Source organism: Homo sapiens, chromosome 17 (assembly GCF_000001405.40).
Source record: "Homo sapiens chromosome 17, GRCh38.p14 Primary Assembly".
Classification (NCBI taxonomy): Eukaryota; Metazoa; Chordata; class Mammalia; order Primates; family Hominidae; genus Homo; species Homo sapiens.
The window spans coordinates 60,137,748-60,158,961 of record NC_000017.11 but is presented as its reverse complement, the minus strand read 5'-3'; the positions used below and the strand labels follow the sequence as shown (position 1 = coordinate 60,158,961).

The 21,214-nt window shown below is 55.3% G+C and overlaps 1 protein-coding gene across 11 annotated transcripts in view, besides 6 other annotated features; it reads right to left on the bottom strand.

The window, feature by feature from the left end:
- Window positions 1-8,989, bottom strand: part of CA4 (carbonic anhydrase 4) — a 29,049-nt gene extending 20,060 nt beyond the window's left edge. For 6 of the 11 annotated variants that reach the window (NR_137422.2, XM_047436653.1, XM_047436655.1 and 3 more), the window contains exons 1-7: window positions 8,870-8,989; window positions 3,595-3,648; window positions 2,247-2,402; window positions 1,390-1,535; window positions 1,174-1,272; window positions 835-901; window positions 516-679 (exon numbers count right to left, since the gene is read on the bottom strand). Coding sequence is in view for 10 of the 11 variants with exons in the window: in XM_047436653.1 (XP_047292609.1) it covers window positions 516-679; window positions 835-901; window positions 1,174-1,272; window positions 1,390-1,535; window positions 2,247-2,402; window positions 3,595-3,648; window positions 8,870-8,927 (744 nt within the window). In the remaining variant the exon portion in view is untranslated. Of the gene's footprint in view, window positions 1-515; window positions 680-834; window positions 974-1,173; window positions 1,273-1,389; window positions 1,536-2,246; window positions 2,403-3,594; window positions 3,649-7,432; window positions 8,198-8,869 lie in introns of those variants that run through there. The other 5 variants (XM_047436650.1, XM_047436652.1, XM_047436651.1 and 2 more) reach the window with 2 other exon arrangements.
- Window positions 345-1,174: an enhancer, noted in NCBI's record as "H3K4me1 hESC enhancer chr17:58235149-58235978 (GRCh37/hg19 assembly coordinates)". NCBI's record gives its function as "activates a minimal SCP1, AML or CMV promoter by ChIP-STARR-seq in naive H9 embryonic stem cells {active_cell/tissue: H9 hESC(naive)}" and the evidence as "EXISTENCE:reporter gene assay evidence [ECO:0000049][PMID:30033119]".
- Window positions 3,318-3,818: an enhancer, noted in NCBI's record as "H3K4me1 hESC enhancer chr17:58232505-58233005 (GRCh37/hg19 assembly coordinates)". NCBI's record gives its function as "activates a minimal SCP1, AML or CMV promoter by ChIP-STARR-seq in naive H9 embryonic stem cells {active_cell/tissue: H9 hESC(naive)}" and the evidence as "EXISTENCE:reporter gene assay evidence [ECO:0000049][PMID:30033119]".
- Window positions 15,876-16,385: an enhancer, noted in NCBI's record as "H3K27ac hESC enhancer chr17:58219938-58220447 (GRCh37/hg19 assembly coordinates)". NCBI's record gives its function as "activates a minimal SCP1, AML or CMV promoter by ChIP-STARR-seq in naive H9 embryonic stem cells {active_cell/tissue: H9 hESC(naive)}" and the evidence as "EXISTENCE:reporter gene assay evidence [ECO:0000049][PMID:30033119]".
- Window positions 17,092-17,648: an enhancer, noted in NCBI's record as "H3K27ac-H3K4me1 hESC enhancer chr17:58218675-58219231 (GRCh37/hg19 assembly coordinates)". NCBI's record gives its function as "activates a minimal SCP1, AML or CMV promoter by ChIP-STARR-seq in naive H9 embryonic stem cells {active_cell/tissue: H9 hESC(naive)}" and the evidence as "EXISTENCE:reporter gene assay evidence [ECO:0000049][PMID:30033119]".
- Window positions 18,305-18,838: an enhancer, noted in NCBI's record as "H3K4me1 hESC enhancer chr17:58217485-58218018 (GRCh37/hg19 assembly coordinates)". NCBI's record gives its function as "activates a minimal SCP1, AML or CMV promoter by ChIP-STARR-seq in naive H9 embryonic stem cells {active_cell/tissue: H9 hESC(naive)}" and the evidence as "EXISTENCE:reporter gene assay evidence [ECO:0000049][PMID:30033119]".
- Window positions 19,373-19,906: an enhancer, noted in NCBI's record as "H3K27ac-H3K4me1 hESC enhancer chr17:58216417-58216950 (GRCh37/hg19 assembly coordinates)". NCBI's record gives its function as "activates a minimal SCP1, AML or CMV promoter by ChIP-STARR-seq in naive H9 embryonic stem cells {active_cell/tissue: H9 hESC(naive)}" and the evidence as "EXISTENCE:reporter gene assay evidence [ECO:0000049][PMID:30033119]".

Below are 21,214 nucleotides of genomic sequence, written 5' to 3'. Positions count from 1 at the left end.
ACAGGACTGTGGCTCTCAAACTTGAGCATGCGTTAGCATCAGCTGGGGGGCGGGCTTGTTGGGCCCCAGATGCCTGGGCTCCACCCCCAGAGTTCCTGATTCAGTAGCTCTGAGGATTAGCATTTCTAACAAATTCCCCCAGTGATGATGTTGACTCCACTGGTCCAGGGGCCGCACTTTGAGAACCACTGTTTTGGAATGAAAGCAGTGCAAGGGTAGGGATTTGGGTCCTTTGGGCTCACTGCTGTCTCCCCAGAGCCTCGTTCATGATAGAAACCCCAGCACCATTTTCTGAATGACTCCACCTTCCCCTGCCTCCTGTCTAGCCCCCAATCTGGTGATGGAACAGCTCAGGCTTTTCTTGCCTGTCTTCAGTGAATGTCGATGATTAACAACGGACTTCAGTTACCTGGGCTCCCCACCTGTATCCTGAGGGACCTCTGAGGGCAGACAGAGGGATAATTTCTGGGGAGCCAGGCAGTGGGAGCCCATGCCCTGCCCCAGGCCCTGTGCACCTGTTCTCTGTGAAGCTGAATGGGCTCCCGGAACACAGTCCAGACGACCTTCTCATCGCAGGTCGGTGTGGTGAGTGAGCCCAGGTAGCGGAAGTAGTGCCTCAGTTTCTCCTCCTTGGGGAGCAGGTCCAACAGGCTGCTCTCTGCCATCGTAGTGCTCATCTCTGAGATAGGGGCAGAGGACACTGTCAGTGAGGGTGGGAGAAGGAGCCCCTCTTCCCCTGCACTCTGAGAGCCCAGCTCCCCGCACACCCACCCCTTCCTTTGTGGGAGGAATCCCCCCCCTCACCCCAAGCCCTTCTCCCCCATCCTGACTCACCAGGTTTGGGGATATTAGACAGTGCCTCCACCAGTGGCTGGAAGCCCTCGTTCACCTGGGTTCCAGCCTGGAAAGGGAGGGAAGGGTCTTGAGAAAGTCTGCAGGGAGCCAGTGGTGGTGGCCAGTTCATTCTCCCGATCTGGGGGCGGAAGGCCAGGCAGCTTCTGGGATTGAGGCTCTGGGCTCCCCACCTGGCCCGGGGACATGCAACCCCAGAAACAGAGGCGGAAGTTGGAGTCTCCCCGCCCCCTCCTGCCTCGCTGGAGTCCCAGGTCTCTGAATCCTAAGAAGAAGCTCTCAGCCCCGGGTTCCCCGGGAAGTGGGGGATGGGAGTCCCACCTCCACCAGAAAGGCCAGCACCGCAATTTCGTCTTCAGGGTCCTGGGCCTCTTTCACATTCCTCGATGTCCCCTTCTCTTTCTCATGTACTATGTGCATCTGGTCGGGGTGGAGGGGTGAAAAGGGGACCTATGAAGGGCCTGGACTACCCTCCTTGCCCAAGGCAGGTGCGCGCCCAGAGCCCAGACAAGGTCCCAGTCGGGAAGGGGCCCTCACCTCCATGGCAAAGTGCTCCCCATCGAGGCTGTGCTCCGAGCCCTTATATGGCAAGTCGGACCAGTGCAGGTGCAACTGTTTGGCCTGGTATGGGGCAGGCAGTCCTCCTCCAGAAATGCTGGCCTTGTTCTCCAGCAACATCATCACTGGGAGCACAGAAGGGGCAGAGTCCTCGAACCAGCCTCCCTCAGCCTCCTCTAGCTCTTCATCCCAGCTTCACCCAGATGGGACATTGTCTCCTGCCTCCCAACCTTCATGAGCTCTGGTTCTGGCCTGCAGGGGTGGCGCGGGGTGGGACAGGGTGGGACAGCCCCGGACCTTTCCCTGGCCTCCTCCTTGGTCTCCCTGCCTGCCTCCCCCTCTCCTGCACCCTCCACTGCCCCAAACTGCAGCTCTGTCCTGGTGCCTCCTCTGCGTCCACCTCCTCTGTGGTGCCCTGGTGTCCTCGGGGTAATGTCCAAACTCCTCAGGCCTGGGTGATCTGCCCTTGGGCCCCAGCCCAGCTGCCCCTGGGCCTTGCTTGGGCTCTGCCTGGCTTCACTGTCTGTCCTTCCTCCACACAGAGCTCCTGGCAGTCCTCTGAACACGCCGAGCTGTTCCATGCCTCCGCGCCTTTGCACATGTCCTTCTTCCTGGAACGTTTCCTGCCCCCACATCCCAGACTGGTCTGACAAAAGTAACGAAAACATACTAGAGTGCTCTCTCCTCCTGGAAGCTGTCCTCCCCCATGGGATTTTCAGCCACCTCACAGCACAGATGGGCCTGGGTCTGGCACACCCTCCTGGGAGGAGCCCCATCCTCTCAGTCCTTGGGGAACTCGGGTGCCCAGGCCTGCCTGGGGCCTCCATCCAGCCCACCTGAGTGCCCGTTATTTTGGACAGTCCACGTTTGCTTCTTATCGTAGCCAGAGAAGAAGAAGCGTCCCAGTTTTTTGTCCACCTTTGCCTTGGTGGTGACGATGTTGATGGGGGACTGGCGGTCCTTCTGGCAGTTTCCACCCCACTTGACTGGCACTGAGCAGGGAGAGAAGGTGGGCTGAGAGTCGGGTGCCTGGCACCAAGGTGTAGCCCCCACCACCCCACTGAAGTCAGGCCCACCCACTCAGTTCCCACACAGAAACGCTTTGGGGTGGCCTGAAGGCTGTGCTGCAGGGATGCTCAGCTCCGAACTCCACTCTCGCCCTCCCTGGGCCCTCCTCCTCCTCCTCCACAGAAACATACATGCAAGGCTGGGGAGTCTAGCCCCAGTGTGGAACAGGGTGGGAACAGGGTTGCCAACTGTTGACTGTGAGCTCCGGGGTAGGGACAACTTCATGAGGTGGTGCACATGGCCTCTCCAAGCCCTGGGTTTCCCAAATGTAAAATGGGAACTGCAGAGATAATCCGCTTCCCTGGGATGTCAGAGAGTTTAAAGGAGGTGGATGGAGAGGGCTTTGGAAACTGTGGAGTGGGACCCCCGGGGGGGCTGCTGATGAAGGGCGCTGAGCATCATCTGAGGAATGGGAGGGAGAGGAGTAACCCTGGAGGAGCTGGTTCCCCGAACCCTGGTGACCCCAACACCAGGTGGGCCAGGGTCAGGAGCGGGCAGCACTGCTCAGTCACCAAAACACAGCAGACTGCAGGGTTTGCATTCGAATTGGTCAGCATTCAAATAAAAGCGTAAAGGACCATCACTCAGGCACCCTGCAAGGGGTGTCACTGGGATAGAAACAACTCCCCGTTTTATTATGGGAAACAGCAAAACGCCTTTCTTCCTTTAATGCTGCTACCGATTTATTCCACAGGGAACATGCCCTCTCGATGACAGCAGGTGCCAGTGAAGACTCAGGTCACTCTATGCTCCCTGGTCCCTGAGCACCAGGACAGGAGAGTGTGAGTGTGTGTTTGTGTGTGTGAGTGAGTGTGGGTTTGTGTGAGTGTGAGTGTGTGTGTGCATGTGTGAGTGTGAGTGTTTGAGTGTGTGCTTGTGTGTGTGTTGTGTGTGTGTTTCTGTGTGAGTGTGTGTGTTTGTATATCTGTGTGTGTGTGTGTGTGAGAGAGAGAGAGAGAGTGTGTGTGTGTGTGTGTGTGTGTGTATGCTGGGAACTGATATCTGCCTGGGAAGCCACCATCACCCCTCCCCTTCCCACTCTTCCGGGGTCTCCATTTCGGCTTGCGTGGTGCCCACCATGCACAAAGAGCAGTCCCCTGGACTGGCTGTACTCACCCAAGCAGGGGTAGTTGGAGGACTCGGCTTGAACCTCGTAGCACCAGTGTGACTCTGGAGCAGAGAGGAAGGGTGTGAAGTGTGCGTGCGTGTGTCTTGTTGCTCACACACACAGGAGGATCAGAGGCTGGGCCTACCCCTGGGGTTGGAGCCCCTCTTGGGCTGGGATGGAGTGTTCCTGGCAGCAGGATTGAGGGCCCAGAAAAAGAGACTCAATTGAAAACCAAGCAGGGGCTGATCAACAGGTCAGCTGGCATAGGGCTCTGTTCCCCAGGCAGGGCCAGGCCAAGCAGCCACTGGCCCTCCAGGGAAGCCCTCTGAGGCCACTCATCTCTAACATGGGGCTGGCTTGGATACTCCATCCTTTGGTCACCAGCAGCCTCCTCCGCGCTTACCTCCCCCACCCCAAACCTGGAAAAGAGGCTGGTGAGAGGAGAAGAGGAGGACTTGGCCCAGCCTCCGCTCCTGGGACAATAGAGTCAGGTTCAACCGGGCAGCCTTCCCAGATCCAAGATGAGGGAGGAGATTAGGCGGCCCCTCCCCAGAATGTCTCACCCTGTGTTACTAAGATCCCTTCTTGGCTAGCGTCTCACAGCTCCCGCTAGGAGGAAAGCAGCCAGGCTTCCTCCCCTGCCCCTCAACCGCACAGTCCTGATCTCTGGGGACAGGCTGAGGGCTCTGCCTCAGGGCAATAGAACCCAGCATCTCTGAAAAAAAGGCTGCACCTCAAATGTCCCACATGGATGCAAGATGTTAATAAGAGGGGAAAGTGCATGCAGGGCAGAAGGGCCTATGGGAACCCTCTGTACTTCCTGCTGAATTTTTATGTGAGCCTAAAATTGCTCTAAAAATAAAGTCTATTAATTTTTTTAAAAGGCTGCACCAGCAGGGCGAACACAACATCTCATCCAGAGCTTGGAATTCTGGCTGAGCCGCTCAGGGGGCTTAGATGGGTTTGGGGGCAAGTCCCTTAAGCTCTCTGAGCCTCAGTTGTATCATCTGTAACATGAGACAAACATACCCACCTCATAGGGCCTTGGGGAGGATTAAATGAGGTTTCAGGCGGCTTGGCACTTAGTAAAATCCCATCGACAACTCCTTCCCTCCCCCCCACCCCTCCCACCCACCCCATGGCCTCCTTTTGGGAGCAGATGGCCAAAGCCAAGGAGGGGCCGAGAGAGGAGAGAAATGAAGTGACTTGGAAAGAAATCAAGATGAGGAAATTCCTAAGAAAAGCACGGTTCCCACTCAGCCAAAGCTGAGGTCTCTGAGCTCATCCACCCTCTCCCTTCTTGCCTGGGCTGCCCCCACAGTCCCATCTTCTTGTAGTCTAAGCCAGGGTAGAGTCCCCGGAGTGGGGACAGGATGGGGAAGGAGCCATGAGGGAGCATCCCCAGGAAAACTAACTGGCCACGAAGAGCTGCTTTGGGCTTTGGAGTTTCCCTGCCCTGATCACTGCCTCTCCTTCCCTGCTGGCATCGCCTTTTTCAGAGCTGCAGTGTCCTCCCCCTGATGGCCCATCCCCAGCCCCGGGCAGGGCTCTGCTGTCCCTGGGAGTTGCTGCACCTGAACCACCCCCATGTGGGTGGATTCTGCAGAGGGCAGTGGCCACTCGCCACCCCAGCAGTGGGGCAGAGCTCCGAAGCCTCCAGCTCCCGCTCTGCCTTTGCTCAGTCTCCACAGGGGAGTTATCTGACATTCTGAGTCCCATAATCTTCCTCTGACAGAAGGCATGTTACAGGAAAGGGGTCCCGATCCAGACCCCAAGAGAGGGTTCTTGGATCTTGCACAAGAGAGAATTCAGGTTGAGTCTGCAGTGCAAAGGAAAAGCACGTTTATTAAGAAAGTACAGTGGTGAAAGGACAGCTACTCCATAGACAGAGTAGGACATTCCCAAAAGTCAGAGAAGGAAGGAATGCATTCAATGCGTTGTATATATGGGGACATGTGCTCTGCTACAAGGGTTTGTGATAAAGGATTAATTTTCTTAATTACTACATTATCCAAGAATTGATATTATTATTATTATTGAGATAGAGTCTCGCTCTGTTGCCCAGGCTGGAGGGCAGTGGTGGGCTCTTGGCTCACTGCAACCTCCACTTCCCAGTTTCAAGCAATTCTCCTGCCTCAGCCTCCTGAGTAACTGGGATTACAGGCATGTACCACCATGCCCAGCTAATCTTTGTATTTTTAGTAGAGACAGGGTTTCACCATGTTGACCAGGCTGGTCTCGAACTCCTGACCTCAAATGATCCACCCGCCTCGGCCTCCCAAAGTGCTGGGATTACAGGTGTGAGCCACCGTGCCCAGCCAACATTATTATTTTTAAAGCAAAATTAGGAATGCCTTTGCTCTCCAGATATCGGAGTATCTGGACCTTCCCAAGTCTGGGTCTGTGTAGTAAATATTATTAATTTGTTCCCTTAACTGCAAACATCTAGAGGCTAGAAATGCCTGACTTTCTGATAATGCAGCCCAGCAAATCTCGGCCTCATTTTCCTAGCTCTCACCCAAAATGGAGTCACTCTGGTTCAAACGCCTCTGACAGGTGCAGCCACCAAATTCCCAGTGCTGGTGACTAAGGAGATAATAAATCAGAGGGCATTTGCACCATGACAGTTCCTTGCCATAATCATCCCATGTCCCCACCCGCAGAGGTCTTGAAGGAGGAAGGGGTTTTGAAGATTGGGCTGGCCTCTTCTCTGACTGGAGGGCCCGGGGGCAGCCATTCCAGGAGAAGCCTCCCTTCAGCCAGCATCCCCAAGAGCCAGCTGCAAAGGGTGGAGCCCCCTGTAACTCGCCTCACAGCCTCCCTGGGGCCCATCTGGTCCAGGCTTAGCTTTTCTTAGGAATTTGGTCTTCCCTGGCTCTGGCCGCAGCTCCTAGGTTTGTAGTGGTGACCTGTGATCCACTGTCTTAATCATGGAGACTTTTGACCTGCTTGGCTGAACGCACTTGTAACTACCTTCTTCAGGAAGCAGCAGCCAGGAAAACATAATGGTGGTGAGGTCAAGGCCAGGGGTCAGGTCCATGTCGGTGGATGAGGGTGGGGTGCTGGTGGCAGGAGCACCCACCACTCAGGTTCCTGTCTTCGTTGAATGAGAGGGCCACCCTTGCAGGTAAGTACCAGCCCACTGACTCAGGCCACTCCCAAGAGGGCTTGGGAAGGAGAGGGGCTACCTACCCAGAGGTCTCGGTGTCCAGCGCCACATCCTACCTAGTCCATCCACCCTGACCAGAGGTTAGAGACCGAAAGTCAGTCGCCTGTCACCCAGCTACTGCCCCCCACACTGACTGACCTGCCACCCCTCCCCCTTATTTCAAGATGGCTGAAGAAGCCTCTCTAATGGACCTTGCTCACCCCACCTCCCCCTCTGAGGGACAGGGGATAATCCTGAAAAACAGCTCAGCACAACCCAAGTGTTTCCTGGGCAAAGTCTCAGTCGCTCCCGGCCAGGGGTCTGGGGCTCTGAAGGGGACCAAATATCCTCACCCGGCCTCTTGTCTCAATGGACAGAGATGCTCTGGGGGTCGCCATATGCAACCTGGTCCCTTCTCAGCTTGAGTCCTCCATAAGATGAATGGAAGGCAGGTCCCAGTCAGAAAGCCTTGGCACTAAAGGGGATAGCAGCTTGTGTGAGGGGTGAGCTGAGACACATTCCTGACACTGGCCCCAGGCTTGGGGGAGAGCCCCATAAACTTGGTATATGACACACCAGCCACGTGCCACACAGGCACCGCACTAATCACTTAAACCCATTATCTTATTCAAACGCTTAAAACCCCTGAAGTCAGAATGACAACACCTGTTTTGCAAATGGGACAGGAAGTGACTTACCCAAGACCACACAGCTACAAAGCACCAGAACTGCAAAGCATTTCTCTTTCTACTTTCTAGCTGCTTAGTAGGTTTCCAATGTCCAACCCTACAAATAAAAGTTTCCACATTCTGCTTTTTCTCTTTCTTCTCCCAGGGGCCCGGTGGAGAGGCTGCAAGGTGCCCCTCGACCCTCTAAGACAGCTCAGCCAGTCCCTGCTGCAAAGGGCACACGCTGGCTCCTCTCTGTGCAGAGGACACCTTCACCCCTCACTCCGCCGCTTTGAGGATGGAGCACCTAACTTGGGAGAGGAGGTTTCAGCCTGCGTGGACCCCAAGAACCATCCGAGGGGTGGTTGGGCTGAGAACTGGCAGAGGGGGTCTTCCGGTGATGGGGTCTGGGGTTGCAAAGAAGGTGCCTCCAGGATCGGATCCCTGTGCCCAGCCGCTTGAAGCGCCTTTAGCTTCTTATCAAATATTAACATGCCTTTCCTGCCACCTCCCACCTAGAGGAATAATTAAGAGCTCGGCTTCACCATTAATCTTTAAACGAAAATCACCCTGTCCGGAAAGACCGGCTCCGCAGAGGCCTTGGGGCTCCGGGTCCCCCACCCCCCGCCCCCGCCAGGCTCCCAATTCAGCGCTGGAGGTTAGGGAGGCCAGGGGAGCTTGCGACCCTCAGGGGCAAGGAACCCGTGTGGGAAGCGCGGCTTCCAGGACCCTGCCAGACCGCCCTTGCTCTGGCCGCGGGGCAGTCACCCAGCGCTGAGTCCCAGCGGGACGGACGGAAACCCACGGGCAGACGGAGGAGGCTGGGTGAGAAAAGAAGGCGTGCGTTGAGGCGGGTCCGAGAAGCATCCTTTTTTTTTTTTTTTTTTTTTTTTTTTTTTTTTTTTAAACGGAGCACCAGGCTGGAGTGCAGTGGCGTGATCTCACTGCAACCTCCACCTCCTGGGTTCAAGCGATTCTCGGGCCTCAGCCTCCCGAGTAGCTGGGATTACAGGCGTGTGCCACCACGTCCGGCTAATGTTTGTATTTTTGGTAGAGATGGGATTTCACCATGTTGGCCATGCTGGTCTCGAACTCCTGGGCTCAGGTGATCCACCCGCCTCTGCCTCCCAACGTGCTGGCATTTCAGGCTGGAGCACCCGCGCCCGGCCTGAGACGCATCCTTATCAGGGACTCCCAACTCGTCTCGCCGGGCCACGCGCACACACCCTCACCGCGCACACCCGTGCACACGCTCCCCCAGCCGGTGCTGACACGCGTGTGCACACACAAGCTCGCGCGCTGCCCAGTCCTCCCGCACCCTCGCGGCCCCCGGCGCACACGCAACCCGGGACCCCAGCGCCACCGACGCTCACCGGTCGCCCGCGGGGGGATCCTCTGCAGGGGCGGGAGCTGGGGGCACGGAGGGGACCGCCGAGGGGCACCTGGGGCCGGAGCCCGGGAGCTCACCTGCACTGGCCGATGGCCGCGCCGCGGAGAGGGCCAGGAGCGCCAGCAGCATCCGCATCTTGCGGGACAGCAAAGAGTCCTCTGAGCCGGGGGTCGCGCACCGAGGAGGCCGCCGCGGGTGCAGCGATCCTGCCGGCCTGGGTTTTATAGCGGAGCCGCGACGGGAGGGAGCCCCGACAGCTGGACGCGGGAGGCGGCTCCTCCCCCTGGCGGGGCCTGCCCTCCCCTCTCCACCTTCCCCTGTCCCTCATCTGAAATCCTCCGCTCTCCCCGGTCCCCCGCCCTGCCTGGCCACCTCTTGCCCTGTGCGCAAGGCCCCCTCACCCACTCCGCGTCCTCTCCACTCAGCAGCGGCGCCCTGCCCCTCCCCCATCCTACTCCTGGTCCCTGGTTTGGGAACAGGGACACGACACCACAAAGTGCTTGACCCACACAAAGATGAGTGCCCCATGATGACTTTGATCATTCTGGCGCCACCCCTGCGCAGTGGTCTTGAATGGGACCTTGGAATGGCCTTGGGGTGGGGGTGGGGGTGGGGGTGGAGATGGCCTCGAAGAGATGAGAGGCTGAGGGGCGTGTGATGCCGTTTGTTGAATCAGTGGCCGCAGAAAGGCTCTCCTATCTCTCTTTGGCAGTGGCCATTGATTCTCTGGGTCTCATCTCTTCTATTTCCTCCCAGGCTGCTCCAAACTTAATTTCTAAGCAGACCAAAGACCTTTCTTCGAATACAGAGCAAAGCTGTCCCTAAACTACTGCCCTTGCTGGTGTTTATGTGATGACCAGGGAGGGTTGATGGGGCAGAATTAAGAAATGGATTGTAAGAGGATTCGGTGAGGGAGAAGCTGATGGGGTCAAAGGGGAGGAGCTAGGTTCTTTGAGCCCCCCAGGTGGAGAGATGAGATGGGAAGAGAAGAGACTGGGGTCTGAATGGACCCCTGGTTCTCCCATCTGGCAAGACCTCCAGAGGAGTCCAGGGGAAGTTCCCTTAAGGGCGGCTCCAACATTTGGGGAAATGGGGTCCCCCCCATGCCCCCAAGCTGCCTCTTGTCTCCTCTCTTAGCTGTGCCCTCCTGCTACTGCAGGTCCTCTGTGTCCCACATGGGGTGGGGGCTTCTGTGGGAGTTTGGGAAGCTCAGGCTGGGGTGCGGGAGAGGGACGGGGAACCAGGCAGTGGACCTGGACCTCCTCCATCAATCCATCAACAGGAAGCCCCCTTTTTCTGGTTTAGCCACTCCCCATCCGCTGCCAACCTCTCAGTCCCTACCGACCTTCGAACCTGGGCTAGGGACTTCTGAAGGGGGATTGCCTCCCCCAGAAGGATTCAGGCAAAGATGCTTCCTCCTTGCTTAGGGTTGAGGCTGACTCCCCGCTCCTGGCCCAGGATCACACAGCCTCACAGAGCAGCTTTGATCCTACAGAGAGGCAGGAGGGAGGTGAGGGGGTGTCCATGCCAGGCTTAGGGCTCTATTGTCAACACCACTGTATAATGTAATCACCAGCCTGCGACCATGACAGCCACAGGAGGGATTCCACACCCAGAGCCTATTCTGGGGAGTGCATTTGTGTTCACAGGGCTATAAAAATGTCCCTTTCAGGACTGAGGAAGCCTGTTCCTGGGAATAAAAACCACCCCCAGGGAGTCCCTGTGACCTCTGGCCAGCCCCCTGATGAGCAGGGGAGAGGCTTGGGAAACTTTGGTGGGGTTAAGGGACTGTTGATCAATGATCCACTTTAAAGTTCATTGCATTCAGGCCCCCCAGGAGAGAGGGGGGCCCTGGGTGCATTTTGGGACCATAAAGATGGGTGAGGAGAACGAGTCCCTGGTAGGGCATCCCCTCTGAGGAATGCGGGAGGGGTAAAGCTATACACTCTCTTATGGGTGCATCTTAATTATGGGCACCACAGAGCCTGCACATTGGCGATGGGGTGGTGGACTGGTTCCTGCTCCATCTGCCATCTCTAACTTCAAGGTTACACAGGGTGAGTGGCCCTCTCTTCCTGTTCCTGGTCTTAACATTCTCAGCCTTATCTCCAGCCCTGACCCCAGTCCTGGCCTGCCATAAACCAGTCACCTGTCACTATTTAGACTACCTGGGGCCCTGCTTACCTGTAGGGGACAAGGCCTGATTTAGGGTCGTTAGAGCTGGAATGAGTGCTGACATGTCCCAGCGACTTACAGGGCCCATAAAGCTGCCAGCCCAGGCCACCTGAGTGGGAGAGCCCAGCCCAGCAGCCCCAGCCTCCTTCCTCTTACTCTGCAGAGGCCCCCAGTGTTCTGAGTTCAAGTCTTTGCTCTTCTTCTGACTCACGGATGACCTTGGGCAACTTTCCTGCACCCGGCTGATTGCAACTTCCTCATCTATAAACTGGAGATGGTAATCCCTGCCCGGCTGACCTCCACCAATAAACAGTTATTTGGAGTCTGCTGTGAACCAGGGCCTGCCCAGCCCAGACTCTCACAACCGGCCTCTCAGTGCCTGGGTGTAGCCACTGGCCCATGGCGGATGCAAAGATTAATCACACTCTTGTCCTCTGGGGATGTTTGCACGCATGGCCCTGTCAGGAACAGAAGGGAGGCCATGGGAAAGCTAAGGGGCTTTGAGACACATAACCCTGGAGTCACTTCTGGCTCCATCCACTTGCTCTGTGATGGCAGCTGAGCCTCAGTTTTCCTCATCTATGAAATGGAAATCATCCCCCAATCTCTCTCAAAGATTGCCCTGAGGCCTCAGTGAGCTAAAGTCTGAGGAGGCTGGGCCCACGGCTTGGCACATTGGCACATGTGGCCATGACCTCTAAGCAGAGTCCCCTTAGCTGGATTAAATCTGACCCTAGGCAGGTGTGGAGGCAGCATTGGGTGGGATGGAACATTGAGTTAGCACTGGAGAGGGGCCCTGGCACATCCAGGCTCTTCCTGGGCTCCCAAGGGCAAGGAGGAGAGCCCTGACTGTAAACCTGGGAACATGAGGTTCAGATGCAGCTCCCGCTGGAACTGTGAGAGCCATGGAGTGGAGGCACAAAGGGAGCTGAGACCCTGCACCCCTGGGTTCACAGCTCAGGGGAAGGTCAAATACATTGCCCTAAACAGAAACCTATCATACCTTATGCTCAGCGTCGCAGGAGGGCAGAGAGAATATCAGGCAGAGGGTCAGAATAGGAGTAGGAGCCACACTGCCCGGGGTCTACATCCCAGACCCGACACTCAGCTTTCACCCCCGTCAGGCTCAGTGTCCTGATCAGGAAAATCACCAGCCTTCGACCATGATTTTAAAAAAAAACCAAAATAACAAAAAACACAGCAGAAATAAAAACAGCAGCTGCCGGGCACAGTGGCTCATGCCTGTAATCTCAACACTTTGGGAGGCCGAGGTGGGCAGATCACTTGAGGTCAGGAGTTCGAGACCAGCCTGGCCAAGATGGAGAAACCCCCGTCTCACTAAAAACACAAAAATTAGCCAGGTGTGGTGGCGGGTGCCTGTAATCCCAGCTACATGGGAAGTGGAGGCAGGAGAATCACTTGAACCCAGGAGGCAGAGGTTGTAGTGAGCTGAGATTGTGTCACTGCACTCCAGCCTGGGCAATAGAGCAAGACTCTATCTCAAAAAGAAAAAAAAAAAAAGAAAAAAAGAAAACCAGCAATACCTTCACAAGAGCGTGGTTAAAATTCCACAAGGTAATGCTGGGTGAAGGGCCTGTCTGGACACTTACTGAGTGCTCAGTAAACCTCAGCTGTAATTCTTAGTTGTTAAGGCCACAGTGGCCTTATGCCCAGAACAGCACAGGAGCCCAGAGGAGCAGCCCCTAACCCAGCCTGTAGGAAAGAGACTGGGGAAGCCTCCCTCAAGAGATCAGACCCGCACTGAGTCTTCAAAGAAAAGTAGACTTTAACTTAAAAAGGGAAGGGAGATGCAGGTGAAGGAAACAGAATGAGAAAAGGCATGGAGGTGAGGCTGGAGAGGGGTTTGGGACCAGACAGGGCTTGTCTGTTAGGATTGGAAGGTTGGACTGATCTTTCCTTTGGTGCGGGATAGATATCAAGATCTTAATTTTATAGACTGGGGAACATTCTCAGAGAGGGTCACTCGACCCCAGAAGCAGGTAGGGATCCTCTGTTACTTCTATGAGTTACAGAAGAGGAAGCTGCGGCTCAGAGAGGGCAGTGGTTTGCCCAAATTCACAGCAAGGAGAGAGGAGTACAGGTGGGATTAGAACTTTGGTCTCCTGCTCCACTTCCCAGTGCTCTTTCTGTGCCATCTCACCTCCTCCCAACACCACATACTTCCCTCCCGCTGGGAGTCCCAGCCTCCATCTGCCCTGGCTTTCCTCACCCGCAGATTCTCCGCTGACTCGCAGATTATTCAGGGAAAGGTTTGCAGAGATTCCAGCTTTTGTGTTCCCAGAGAGTGAGATTAAATCCACACAAAAGAAGGGTTAGTCAATAGCCTGGGCTCCACCTCTCCCCAGCCTGGATCTCTGCTGTATTCCAGCAAAGACGAAAAAACTCCTTTCCTGCCAGCACCTGTGGAGGCTGCGTGCCCTCTTCCCACCCTCTATGCCTGCCCTATTTCTCTGGACTGTGCAGAGAATCTGGGGGAGGGGAGGGAGGGGAGGGAGGGGGCCGGCAGAGAGAGCTGGAGACTGTCACTAGGGAAGGACAGGAGCCTTTTTGGTACAGGAGTTGGCAGAAACTTCTGGCCCCGAACATTTTGAAATAACAATAGCAGTAATACGTGTGGAAAAACCCAGTGATAGAGGTGACATATGTTCTGTTCCTCTCCTGCAGAAAACTCAGGAATACTCCCCCGTGGTCGTCCCCTCCCCTCTCAGCATCTTGGCCACAACAGCCCAGGCTCACACCAGCAGGACACTGGGATCAGAGCGAGGTCAGATTTTGCAAGTGTGTTCATTTACATTCTGGTTTTGTGGTGGAGGGATCCCCTAAAGAGGGTGATGAGGGGGAATTGGGTTGGGGAGAAGAAGAGCCACACGAGCAACTTTGGTGGGGAAAGGAATGGTCCTTCCTTAATTAACATTGTGACAACATTAAGAAAACAGGCTCGCGGGTGGCTTGGCGGTGGCTCGCACCTGTAATCCCAGCAATTTGAGGGGCCAAGCCTGGCAGGTTGCTTGAGCCCAGAAGTTCGAATCCAGCCTAGGCAAGATGGTGAAATCGGTCTCTACAGAAAATACAAAAATGAGCTGGGCATGGTGGCACATGCCTGTAGTCCCAGCCACCTGGGGGGCTGAGGCTGGAGAATCACTTGAGCTCAGGAGGTGGAGGCTGCAGTGAGCCAAGATCACACCACTGCACTCCAGCCTGGGGCCTGGGTGATAGAGTGAGACTCTGCCTCAAAAAAAAGAGAGAGAGCGAGAGAAAGAAGAAAAAGAAAAGAAAAGGAAAGAAAAAAGAGACTTGGCCAGGCACAATGGCTCACACCTGTAATCCCAGCCCTTTGAGAGGCTGAGGCAGGAAGGTCACTTGAGCCCAGGTGTTTGAAAACAGCCTGGGCAGCATAGAGAGACCCTGTCTCTACAAAAAATAAAAAATTAGGGGAGTATGGTGGTGCACGTCTATAGTCCCAGCTACTCAGGAGGCTGAGGTAGGAGAATCCCTGGAGTCTGGGAGATCGAGATGGAGGCTGCAGTGGGCTATGAGCATGCCACTGTACTCCAGCCTGGGCAACAGTGCAACAGTGTGAGACCCTGTCTGTAAAAAGAAAGAAAGAAAGAGAGAGACAGAGAGAGAGAGAGGAAAGAAAGAAAAAAAGAGAGAGGAAAGAAAGAGAGAGAGAGACAGAGAGAGAGAGGAAAGAAAGAAAAAAGAGAGAGGAAAGAAAGAGACAGAAAGAAGGAGAGAAAGAAAGAAAAGAAAGAAAGAAAGAAAGAAAGAAAAGAAAGAAAGAAAGAAAGAAAGAAAGAAAGAAAGAAAGAGGAAGAAGGAAAGGACTAGCAGGGGTGGGGGCTCACACCTGTAATCCCAGCACTTTGGGAGGTGGAGGCAGGTGGATCATCTGAGGTCAGGAGTTTGAGACTAGCCTGACCAACATGGTGAAATCCCATCTCTATTAAAAATACAAAACTTAGCCAGGTGTGGTGGCAGCGCATGCTTCTAGTCCCAGTTATTCAGGAGGCTGAGTCAGGAGAATCGCTTGAACCCGGGAGGCAGAGGTTGCAGTGAGCCAAGATCATGCCACTGCACTCCGGCCTGGGTGACAGGGCAAGACTCTGTCTCAAAAAGAAAAGAAAAAAAAAAAAGAAAAAAAGGAAGGAAGGAAGGCAAGCAGAAAGGAAGGAAGGAAGCAAGCAAGCTCTTTCAGGGGTGTGTGTGTGTGTGTGAACTTCTTTTTCCTGATTACCCAAATAACACTTGCTCATTGTAGAACATTTGGAAAGGAGAAAAAGAAACATTATTCATAACCTTATTTCCCAGAGGCAATCATTTTACAAATTTGATGTATTTTTAAGAAAAAACACCTCACCTCAATCCGTGTTTAATTTTTCTGTGTCCCCTGCAGCCTTTATCTATATGCAAGCGCGCTATTGACATAGTGAACAATGGAGGGTCCTGCTTTTTAATGTCCACATTTCAGTGTAAACCTGAGTCCGTGTTACTGGGCAGCCTTTGCAACTTTCATTTTGTGGCTCCACAGTACACCCAGGTTGTATCATCAGCTCACTCCCCATTATAAAGAACATTGCAGCAAACGCCTTCCCGCTAGATGGACAGGGCCGCTGGATGGGCAGGGAACCTGGGAGTCTCAGCTCCTCTACCCAGCTCCCTACTGAGGGGAGCTGCCCTAACTAAGTTCATGAAAATAGTTGAGGAGTGCGGTGGGGGCTGGTGAAGGTCCCTTGGCGGCCAGTGGGAGAATCAGAGCCTGGAGTCCTCACTCTGACCTCTGATGTGCCTGTGAGATGGGAAATATGTGTGAGGTTGGGGGTGAGGTGGTTCTGAATAGATTTGCAGCGTGTGAGAAAAAAATGTGCTTGTGGGCGACTCCTCCCTGAGTGCCCTTGCACCACATTGGCGCCCTCTGCTGTCCCTGCTCGTCTAATACTTTGGAAGTTCTTTCTGTGTAACTGTAGACCAGTCTGTCCTTCCTGTCTCCTTTCCATTTAGGGGAAGAGTATCATTTAACAGCAATGAAATAGCATTCAGAGAATTGAAAAAAAACTCTTTAGGTCCACCCCAAACCCAGTACCCAGAACTTTAGCCTCCTTCAGGAGACTTCCCTATTGGAACTACTCTCTCTCTCTCTTAGATATTGAGTTGGGGGTTGGGGGGATGGGGACTGAGACAAGCAGTTGAGAATAAGGCAGCAGTTTCCCTGAAGACCCTGTCCTAGCCACTCCCTTCTCCAGGTGTGGCCCTGGGGAGGGATGGCTGTATTACAGCCCCAGAAAGAAGCCAAGCATTTGGCAGCTCAGCTCACCTCCTGCATCTGATAAGGGTGACACATGGGTACACGTGGGGTGGTTAGATGGGTCTTCCCTGCCCCTCCGTTTATTATGCAAATGGGGAAGTGGGGAATGGCTTTTTCCTAGCAAGTAACTCCGAGATTTCCGAAGTTTAATGAGCCTTGTGTGGTAAAGGATTAGGGGCAGGCCTGGCTTCATGGGGCAGGGGCTTGCATAGTTGCAGAGCAGCTGCACTTAGAAGAGCTTCACATTTTCTTTTTTCTTTTCTTTTTCTTTCTTTTTTTCCTTTCTTTTCTTGAGACAGAGTCTCAATCTGTTGCCCAGGCTGGAATGCAGTGACGTGATTTTGGCTCACTGCAAACTCCACCTCCCTGGCTCAAGTGCTCCTCCTACCTCAGCCTCCCTGGGATTACAGGCACAAGCCACCACGCCCAGCTAATTTTTTTTTTTTTTTTTTTTTTTTTTTGAGACAGAGTGTCTCTCTGCCGTCCAGGCTGGAGTGCAGTGGTGCGATCTCAGCTCACTGCAAGCTCTGCCTCCCGGGTTCACGCCATTCTCCTGCCTCAGCCTCCAAAGTAGCCTGGACTACAGATGCCCGCCACCATGTCGGGCTAATTTTTTTGTATTTTTAGTAAAGACGGGGTTTCACCATGTTGGCCAGGCTGGTCTCTAACTCCTGAGCTCAGCTGATCCACCCGCCTCGGCCTCCCAAAGAGCTAGGATTACAGGCATGAGCCACCTCACCCTGCCCACATTTTTATTTTGTAGCTTATACTGGAGGCTGGGGTTTAGGGGAGCGGTGTCTGTCTTCTGGTTGTATCTCCACCCAGCCAGGGCGGGCGGCAAGGGTGTTGAGATTCTAAAAGCCGTGAGGGAAAGCTCCCCAGGGCCCAACCTCCCCATACAATTCACAGGACAAGTCTGGAGTGAGCGAGGACTATGTCCATAAAAGGAAGGAAAAGACAAGACAATGTTGCCCAATGAGTCAAGCGTGATCGTCGCACAAAGAAGCAGGGCGCTGTTCCCCAGAGCAGGGCCAGTTCAGAGAAGAGGTCGGGAGCAGCTGGACGATAGAGAACAGTCCTCCTACCAGCAGCCCTAGGGCCCTCGGCTGGCGCAGGTTCTGCTTTCTCGCGGGAAACGCTCCCCTACATATGCTCGCTCACAGCCCACCGCCCCGCGCCGCTGCAGCTTCTGTGCCCCGGAAAGCCTCTCCAGCAGCCTGGCAGTGCTCGAGGTGAGCACAGCGTTTCGGCCTCCCGAGCCTGCCTACTCCTCGTGGCGATGTCTGACAGCTAGGTCAGCGGCGCGACGTCCATGGGGGCCCTGCGCGCTGAGCGCGACGTCCAGCCCGAGCGCGGTCCCTAAGCGGGCCAGCCTTGGCCTGGGGCGCCGTCTGAATTGGGCGCTGGCTGCACACTCAGCTGGCCTGGAATGCCCTGGACGGCACCTGCCTGCTTGACTTCTGCCTCTACCATCTGGTCTGGCATTTCGCCCCAGGCTGATGATAAGAAGGTGCCAGGAGGCCCTGGGACACCGCGCAGGAGCACGGCGGGAGCCATACTGGGGCATAGCCCTGGACTGCCTCTCTGAACTGGCCTGCTCTGGGGAAGAGTGCCCTGCTTCTTTGTGCTACGATCATGCTTGACTCACTGGGCAATATTGTCTTGTCTTTCCTTTCTCTTTCTTTTTATGGATATAGTAGCCCTCATTCACTCTAGACCTGTCCTATGAATTGTATGGGGAGGCTGGGCCCTGGGAAGCTTTCCCTCGGCTTTTAGAATCTCAACCCCCTTGTGGTCATCCAAGCTTTCCAAAAAGGAAAGACATTTCTTTTCTTTTTGTTTTTCTTTCTTTTCTTTTTTTTTGACATGGTCTTGCTCTGTTGCCCAGACTGGAGTGCAGTGGTGTGATCATAGCTCACTGAAACTTTCTGGGCTCAGGTGATCCTCCCACCTCAGCCTCCCAAGTAGCTGGGACTACAGGTGCAGTGCCATCACTCCCGACTCATTTTTATGTTTTTTGTGGAGACGGGGCTTCACTATGTTGCCCAGGCTGGTCTCGAGCTCCTCGGCTCGAGCGATCCGCCCGCCCCGGCCTTCCAAAGCGCTGGGATTACAGGCATGAGCCACTGTGCCTGCCCAAGCTTGTGATTTTATATGCTCAGGAGCAAAAATCTGGTCCCGAAGTGGCTGTACCCAGTGTCAAAGAAGGGCATATTCACTTTGTGAAAGATGTGCGGGAGGAATTCCAGGGGTTTTTCTCTCCTGCTTCGCAGGTAGTAGCGTTGGCACAGCTTGGATGGCCACACCGCGGTTGAGATTCTAAAAACCGAGGGAAACCTTCCCGGGGCCCAGACAATTACAGGACAGGTCTGGAGTGAGCGAGGACTATCTCCATAATAAGTGAATTCCTGCCAGTGCCGGGACAGAGCATGGGGTTCGAGCTTCGCCCACCTGTCCCGCACTGCCTGGGACTGAACAAGGCATGGACCTTCGCTGAGCCTCTCAGGCAAGCTCCGACCTCCCCGGTGCTTCCGGGTGAAACCCGCGGTGGTCTAAACAGTTGAGGCAGGCGACGATCCATGAGGGTTGTTGGACCAGTGCGGACGCGTCTTGGAGTTCGGGTCGAATCCTGAGTGGAGGCTGTAGCGCGGACGCGGCTTCCGGTAGGTGGCGGAGGGGCGTGGGGCACTTCAGCACCACGGGGTGGACAGCACCCTGGAAGCAGCTGCGGAAGCCTGCAGCCGAGGTCGCAGCCAGGCTCCCCAGACCCCCGCCTGGTTCCGCGGTCTTTACCCTGGAAGTAGAGGCGGAGGGACAGCCCCAGCGGGACCGAGCTTCGAGACCCGGACCTCACGGCCCACAAGCTGTGCGGAGTTTGGGCCTGCGCTCGGGGGATCTTGTCGAGTTGGGGTCAGGGATGAGGAGGAGGGGGCCGCGGGCGAAGGCTGGCGATTCATCCAGCAGCGCTCAGCAGAAGACCAAACCTTGGTCGCGCCCCTGGAGCCCTCTTTTCCTTGGAATTCCAGTGTAGACACCGTCGCGGGTGCTGGTTGCAAGGGACCCTCAGGTCCCCGCTGGCCCAGACTTGCAGCCTCGTCTAAAACCTCCCGCCCCAGGTTAAAAGGCAAAATAACGGCACCTGGAGGGGCAATGGAGCGCGGACGGGCTGTTCGAGGGCAGCGGGGCAGAACGGTCCCGCTGCGCAGCGCTATGACCGGGACGGAAGCCATGGACCGTTTCTGGGAAGCAGGTAAATGGAATTAAGTAGATTTAAGATTCCAAGGCGTTTTACACGCGGTCCCTTCTGAGCCTCTCAGCAGCCGAGGAAGGTAGGCCCAAGCATCAGCTGTCATCCACGAAGGCTCTCAGAGGGCGGCCGACGCCTCCACGTCACACAGCCGAGGGTCTCTGAAGCCGGGACTCGAATCCAGGGTTCTGCACACCAGATCTGCTGCTAGTCCTCGGCACCTGCTGCCTCGCGGGAGCCCAGTCGCCTGCAGGACAGGGAGTCCCTGCAGCTGCCCCGTTCGCTGTGCCTCCGGGGTCAGTCGTGGGCGCCCCAGTCCAAGCGCGGCCTCGGAACCGAATGGACAAAGACGACGGGGGCTGGAGACGCGTAGGGATGGCTGCGGCAATTACGGCCCTAGGAGGGGGAGCGCACCGCGCATGGGGACCGTGGACAGGCGGGGCCCCCTGATCCAGTCGGAATGAGGCGCGGGGCTCCCGGTTAGCGACTTGCCTATACACAACGCCCCATCTCCTGAGTTCGCTTTCAAGGCCCACCCACTGTTCCACTCATTCAGCGCTGGGCCATTCCACAGGCAGTTCCCCCGAGCCGGCCAGGTTCCACCTTCTGGCTGTTTCAGCTTCCTGAATTTCTTATCCCACCTGCCCGCAACAGCCTTCTGGACCAGCCTGGCGGGACACAAGGCGAGCCCCTGGTACTTAGGAATGTCCACTAGTCAGGGTCTGCACAGTTGCTGCAGCCAGCCAAACACTTTGTTGGGGACGAAGGAGAGGGATCTCTGGTGACTGGGGAGAGCCCAGGTCCAGCTTTTGGGGGCTAGGGAGCTACACTGTGGAGGGAGCCACACCCTGTCCTCTGGGTGACCAGTGAGGACTATACTCACTGTGCACCAACAATGTCAGATATTTCTTTCCTGGACGCCCAGGAAGTTCTCCTCAGACCAGAACTTAGTCCCCGCTTTCCAGCAGCTGCTCAAAATATATAGTCTCTTGGCCAGGCACGGTGGCTCATGTCTGTAATACCAGCATTTTTGGGAGGACAAGGCAGGAGGATGGCTTGGCCAGGAGTTCCAGACCAGCCTGAGCAAGACAGTGAGACCTTATCTCTACAGAAAAAAAAAAAAAAAAAAAAAAGCTAGGCCTGGTGGTGCATGCCTGTAGTCCTAGCTACTCAAGAAGCTGAGATAGGAGGATCATTTGAGCCCAGGGGTTTGCAGCTGTAGTGAGCTGTGTTCATGCCACTGTACTCCAGCCTGGGTGACAGAGGAAGACCCTGTCTCTATAAAAAATTATATATAATATTATATATTACATATAATCTTAGCAGGAGGGGTGGCTGAAAGCAGGCCTGGGTAGGTTTTGTAAAGAATGAGTTCACTGGACTCCTCTGCAAAACTCTACCTGTGGAACCCAGAGCCAAGGCCTTGCCACTCCCTCCCCACTGGGTAAGGCACAAGTGGCAAGTGGGCCAAGGATAAGTGGTAGGGGGACACGAGGGTGTCCAGCCTGTTAAAATGGTCACTGCAGATGTCATGCTGGCCTGGGAGCAGTAGAGCTTGGAAAACATCTGCTGCTGCCTGCCTGCCCTGATGGTCCCAGAGATAGGGTGAGGAGTAAATGATTCAGGGCAGGACCCCACAGCTGATCAGCTGATGGCTTGGTTGGGCACAGCAGA